Source organism: Homo sapiens, chromosome 3 (genome assembly GCF_000001405.40).
Source record: "Homo sapiens chromosome 3, GRCh38.p14 Primary Assembly".
Taxonomy (NCBI): Eukaryota; Metazoa; Chordata; class Mammalia; order Primates; family Hominidae; genus Homo; species Homo sapiens.
The window spans coordinates 90328893-90334892 of NC_000003.12; the positions used below are offsets into that span (position 1 = coordinate 90328893).

The window sequence follows — 6000 nt, forward strand, 5'->3', positions numbered from 1 at the left end:
TTCTACAAAAAGATTATTTAAAAACTGCTCAATTAAAGAAAAGGTTCAACTCTGTGAGCTGAATGCACACATCACAAAGAACTTTCTCAGAATGCTTCTGTCTAGTTTTTATGTGAAGATATTTCCTTTTCCACCTTAGGCCTCAAAGTGCCCCAAATATCCACTTGTACATAGTACAAAAAGAGTGTTTAAAAACTGCTCAGCCAAAAGAAAAGTTCAACTCTGTGTGTTGAATGCACACATCACAAAGACGTTTCTTAGCATGCTTTTTTCTAGTTTTTATGGGTAGATATTTCCTCTTGTGTCATAAGCCTCAAACCGCTCAAAATATACATTTGCAGATACAACAAAAAGGCAGTTTCCAAACCACTTAATCAAAAGAAAGGTTCAACTCCGTCGGTTTAATGCACACATCACAAAGAAGTTTCTCAGAATGCTTCTGTGTAGTTTTTATTTGAAGATGTTTCCTTTTCCACCACAGGCCTCAAAGCGCTCCAAATATCGACTTGCAAATTTTACAAAAACAGTGGTTTAAAGCTGCTCAATTAAAGAAAGTTTCAAGTATGTGAGATGAATGCACACGTCACAAAGAAGTTTCTCAGAATATCTGCCTAGTTTGTATGTGAAGATATTTCCTTTTCCAGTAGAAGCCTCAAATTGCTCCAAATATCCCCTTGCAGATTCTACAAAAAGTGTGTTTTAAAACCGCTCAATCAAAAGAAAAGTTCAACTCTTTGAGATGAATGTGCACATCACAAATAAGTTGCTCAGAATGCTTCTGTCTGGTTTTTATGTGAAGATATTTCCTTTTCCACTAGAGATGGCAAAGCGCTCCAAATATCCACTTGCAGATCCTAAAATAAGAGTGTTTCAAAACTGTCCAATGAAAAGAAAGGATCAAATCTGTGAGATGCATGCACACATCACAAAGAAATTTCTCAGAATGCTTCTGTCTAGTTTTTATGTGAAGATATTTCCTTTTCCTCTATAGGCTGCAAAAGTTCCAAATATCCACTTGCAGATTCTACAAAAAGAGTGTTTCAAAACTTGTCCATCATTAGAAAGGAACAACTCTGTGAGTCCAATGCACCCATCATAAAGAAGTTTCTCAGACTGCTTTTGTCTAGTTTTTATGTGAAGATATTTCCTTTTCCACCATACTCCTCAAACTGCTCCAAATATCCATTTGCTGACACTACAAAAGGACTGTTTCCAAACTGCTCAATCAAAATAAAGGTTCAAATCTTTGAGGTGAATGCACACATCACAAAGAAGTTTCTCAGAATGCTTCTATGTAGTTTTATGTGAAGATATTCCTTTTCCAGTAGAGGCCGAAAAGTGATCCAGGTATCCACTTGCAGATTCTACAAAAAGAGTGTTTCAAAACTGCTCAGTGAGTGAGAAGAAAGTTTCAGCTCCATGAGATGAATGCACACATCACAAAGAAGTTCCTCAGAATGCTTCTGTCTGGTTTTTATTTGAAGCTATTTCCTTTTCCACCATAGACCTCAAAGCGCTCAAAATATCCACTTGCAGTTTCTACAGAAAGAGTGTTTCAAAATTGCTCAATCAAAAGAAACATTCAGCTCTGTGAGATGAATGCAGGAAACACAATGGAGTTGCTCACAATGCTTCTGTCATGTTTTTATGTGAATATATTTCCTTTTTCACCATAGGCATCAAAGCACTCCAAATATCTATTTGTAGATTCTATAAAAAGACAGTTTCCAAACTGCTCCCTCAAAAGAAATGTTAAACTCTGTGAGATGAATGCACACATCATAAAGAAGTTTCTCAGAATGCTTCTATCTAGTTTTTATGTGAAGATACTTCCTATTTCACAATAGGGCATAAACAACTCACAAATATCTCTTTGCAGATTCTATGAAAAGACTGTTTCTAAACTTCTCAATGAAAAGAAAGGTTCAACTCTGTAAGATGAAATACACATCACAATGAAGTTTCTCAGATTGCTTCATTCTAGTTTTTATGTCAAGATACTTCTTTTTCACCATAGGCCTCAAGCGACTCAGAAATATCCCTTTGCTGATTTTACAAAAAGACTGTTTCCAAACTGCTCAACCAAAAGAAAATCTCAACTCTGTGAGAGGAATGTAGGCATCATAAAGAAGTTTCTCAGATTGCTTCCGTCTAGTTTATATATGAAGATATTTCCTTTTTCATCATAGTCCTCAAGGCACTCCAAATAACTATTTGCAAAGTCTACAAAAAGACCGTTTCCAAAATGCTCAATCAAAAGAAACGTTCAACTCTGTCAGATGAAAGCATATCTCACAAAGTAGTTTCTCAGGAATGTTCTGTGCAGTTTTTATGAGAAGATATTTCCTATTTCTCCATAGGTCAAAATGGGCTCACAAATATCCCTGTGGAGATTCTACGAAAAGACTGTTTCCAAACTGGTCAATCAAAAGAAACGTTCTGCACTGTCAGATGAATGCAAACATCACAAAGAAGTTTCTCTGAATCCTTCTTTCTAGTTTTTATGTGTACATATTTCTTTTTCCTCATAGGCCTCAAACGGCTACAAAATATCCATTTACAGATTGTAGAAAAAGACTGTTTCCAAACTGCTCAATCAAAAGACAGTTTCAACTCTGGGAGATGAATGCACACATCCCAAAGAGATATCTCAGAATGCTTCTGTCTTTTTTTTTATGTGAAGATATCTCCTTTTTCACCATAGGCCTCAAAGTGCTCTAAATATCGATTTGCAGATTCAACAAAAAGAGCGTATCAAACTTGCTCAATCAAAAGAAAGTTTCAACTTGGTGGGATGAATGCACACATAACAAAGAAGTTTCACGGAATGCTTGTGCCTAGTTTTTATGTGAAGATACTTCCATTTTCACCATAGGCTTCAAAGCACTCCAAATATAAATTTGCAGATTCTACAAAAACACTGTTTCCAAACTGCTCAATACAAAGAATGGCTCAACTCAGTCAGATGAATGAACACATGGCAACGTAGTTCTTGAGAATGCTTCTGTCGAGTTTTTAGTTGAAGATATTTCTTTTTTCAACACGGGCCTCAAAGCGATCCGAATATACATTTGCAGATTCTACAAAAAAGACTGTTTCCAATCTGCTAAATCAAAAGAAATATTCAAATCCGTGAGATGAAAGCCCACATCAAAAAGAATTTTCTCAGAATGCTTCTGTCTAGTTTTTATGTGAAGATATTTCCTATTGAACCATAGGCCATAAAGGGCTCATAAATATCCCTGTGTAGATTCTATGAAAAGACTGTTTCCAAACTGCTCAATCAAAAGAAAGGTTCAACTCTGTTAGATGAATGCACAAATCACAACGAAGTTTCTCTGAATGCTTCTCTCTAATTTTTATGTGAAGATATTTCTTTTTCACCATAGGTCTCAAACGGCTCGGAAATATCCCTTTGCAAATTGTACAAAAGGACTGTTTCCAAACTGCTCAGTCAAAAGAAAGGTTCAATTCTGTGAGATGAATGCAGGCATCACAAAGAAGTTTCTCAAAATGCTGCTGTCTAGTTTTTATGTGAAGATATTTCCTTTTTCACCATAAGCCTTAAACCAGTCACAAATATCCCTCTGCAGACACTACAAAAAGACTGTTTCCAAACTGTTCCATCAAAAGTGAGGTTCAACTCTGTGAGATGAATGCACACATTACAAAGAAGTTTCTCAAAATGCTTCTGTCAAGTTTTTTTGTGAAGATATTTCCTTTTTCAACACAGGCCTCAAAGCGCTCCTAGTATACATTTGCAGACACTACAAAAAGAGTGTTTCCAAACTGCTCAATCAAAAGAAAAGTTCAACTGCATGAAATGAAAGCCCACATCACAAAGCAGTTTCTCAGAATGCTTCTGCCAAGTTTTTATGTGAAGACATTTCATTTTTCACCGTAGACCTCAAAGCACTCCAAACATCCATTTGCAGATTTTACAAAAAGAGTGTTTCCAACCTGCTCAATCAAAAGAAAACTTCAACTGTGAGTTGAATGCACACATCCCAAAGATGTTTCTCAGTGTGCTTCTGTCTATTTTTTATGTGATGATATTTCCTTTTTCACCATAGGCCTTAAACCGGTCAGAAATATCCCTCTGCAGATACTACAACAAGACTGTTTCCAAACTGCTGCATCAAAAGAAATGTTTCTACTTTGTGAGATGAATGCAAACATTGCATAGAAGTTTGTAAGAATGTTTCTCTCTATTTTTTATGTGAAGATATTTCTTTTCCACCATAGGCCTCAAACGGCTCAGAAATATCCCTTTGCACATTGTACAAAAGGACTGTTTTCAAACTGCTCAATCAAAAGAAAGGTTCAACACTGTGAGATGAATGCACCATCACAAAGAAGTTTCTCCGAATGTTTCCATCTCGTTTTTTTGTGAAGATATTTCCTTTTATACCATAGGCTTCAAAGCGCTCCAAATATCCATTTGCAGATTCCACAAAAAGAGTGTTTCCGACCAGCTGAATCAAAAGAAATGTTCAACTCTGTGAGATGATAGCATATATCACAAAAAGTTTCTCAGAAATCTTCCTTCTAGTTTTTATGCGAAGATATTTCTTTTTCACCATGGGCCTCAAACAGTTCTGAAACAATCCTTTGCACATTGTACAAAAAGACTGTTTCCAAACTTCTCAGTCAAAAGAAAGTTTCAACTCTGTGATATGAATGCACACATCAAAAAGAAGTTTCTCAGAATGCTTCCGTCTAGTTTTTATGTGAAGATATTTGCTTTTTCACCATAGGCTTCAAAGCGCTCCAAATATCTATTTGCAGATTCCACAAAAAGAAGGTTTCCAGCCAGCTCAATCAAAAGAAATGTTCAACTCGGTGAGATGATAGCATATATCACAAAAAGTTTTTCAGAAATATTCTGTCCAGTTTTTATATGAAGATATTTCCTATTTCACCATTGGCCATAAAGGGCTCACAAATATCCCGTGCACATTCTATGATAAGACTGTTTCCAAACTGCTCATTGAAAAGAAAGCTTCAACAATGTGAGATGAATGCACACATCACAAAAAAGTTTCTCAGAATGCTTCTGTCTAGTTTTTATGTGAAGATATTTCCTTTTTCAGCATAGGCCTTAAACATGTCACAAATATCCATCTCCAGATACTACAAAAAGACTGTTTCCAAACTTCTCCATGAAAAGAAAGGTTCAGCTCTAGGAGCCAAGATGGCCGAATAGGAACAGTTCCGGTCTACAGCTCCCAGCGTGAGCGACGCAGAAGACGGGTGACTTCTGCATTTCCATCTGAGGTACCGGGTTCATCTCACTAGGGAGTGCCAGACAGTGAGCGCAGGCCAGTGTGTGTGTGCACCGTGGGCGAGCCGAAGCAGGGCGAGGCATTGCCTCACCTGGGAAGCGCAAGGGGTCAGGGAGTTCCCTTTCCGAGTCAAAGAAAGGGGTGACAGACGCACCTGGAAAATCGGGTCACTCCCACCCGAATATTGCGCTTTTCAGACCGCCTTAAGAAACGGCACACCACGAGACTATATCCCACACCTGGCTCAGAGGGTCCTACGCCCACGGAATCTCGCTGATTGCTAGCACAGCAGTCTGAGATCAAACTGCAAGGCGGCAACGAGGCTGGGGGAGGGGCGCCCGCCATTGCCCAGGCTTGCTTAGGTAAACAAAGCAGCCAGGAAGCTCGAACTGGGTGGAGCCCACCACAGCTCAAGGAGGCCTGCCTGCCTCTGTAGGCTCCACCTCTGGGGGCAGGGCACAGACAAACAAAAAGACAGCAGTAACCTCTGCAGACTTAAGTGTCCCTGTCTGACAGCTTTGAAGAGAGCAGTGGTTCTCCCAGCACGCAGCTGGAGATCTGAGAACGGGCAGACTGCCTCCTCAAGTGGGTCCCTGACCCCTGACCCCCGAGCAGCCTAACTGGGAGGCACCCCTCAGCAGGGGCACACTGACACCTCACACGGCACGGTATTCCAACAGACCTGCAGCTGAGGGTCCTGTCTGTTAGAAGGAAA

The 6000-nt window shown here is 39.0% G+C and overlaps 1 annotated feature.

Annotated features, from left to right (window-relative positions):
• Window positions 5069–5570: an enhancer, noted in NCBI's record as "OCT4-NANOG-H3K4me1 hESC enhancer chr3:90383111-90383612 (GRCh37/hg19 assembly coordinates)". NCBI's record gives its function as "activates a minimal SCP1, AML or CMV promoter by ChIP-STARR-seq in naive H9 embryonic stem cells {active_cell/tissue: H9 hESC(naive)}" and the evidence as "EXISTENCE:reporter gene assay evidence [ECO:0000049][PMID:30033119]".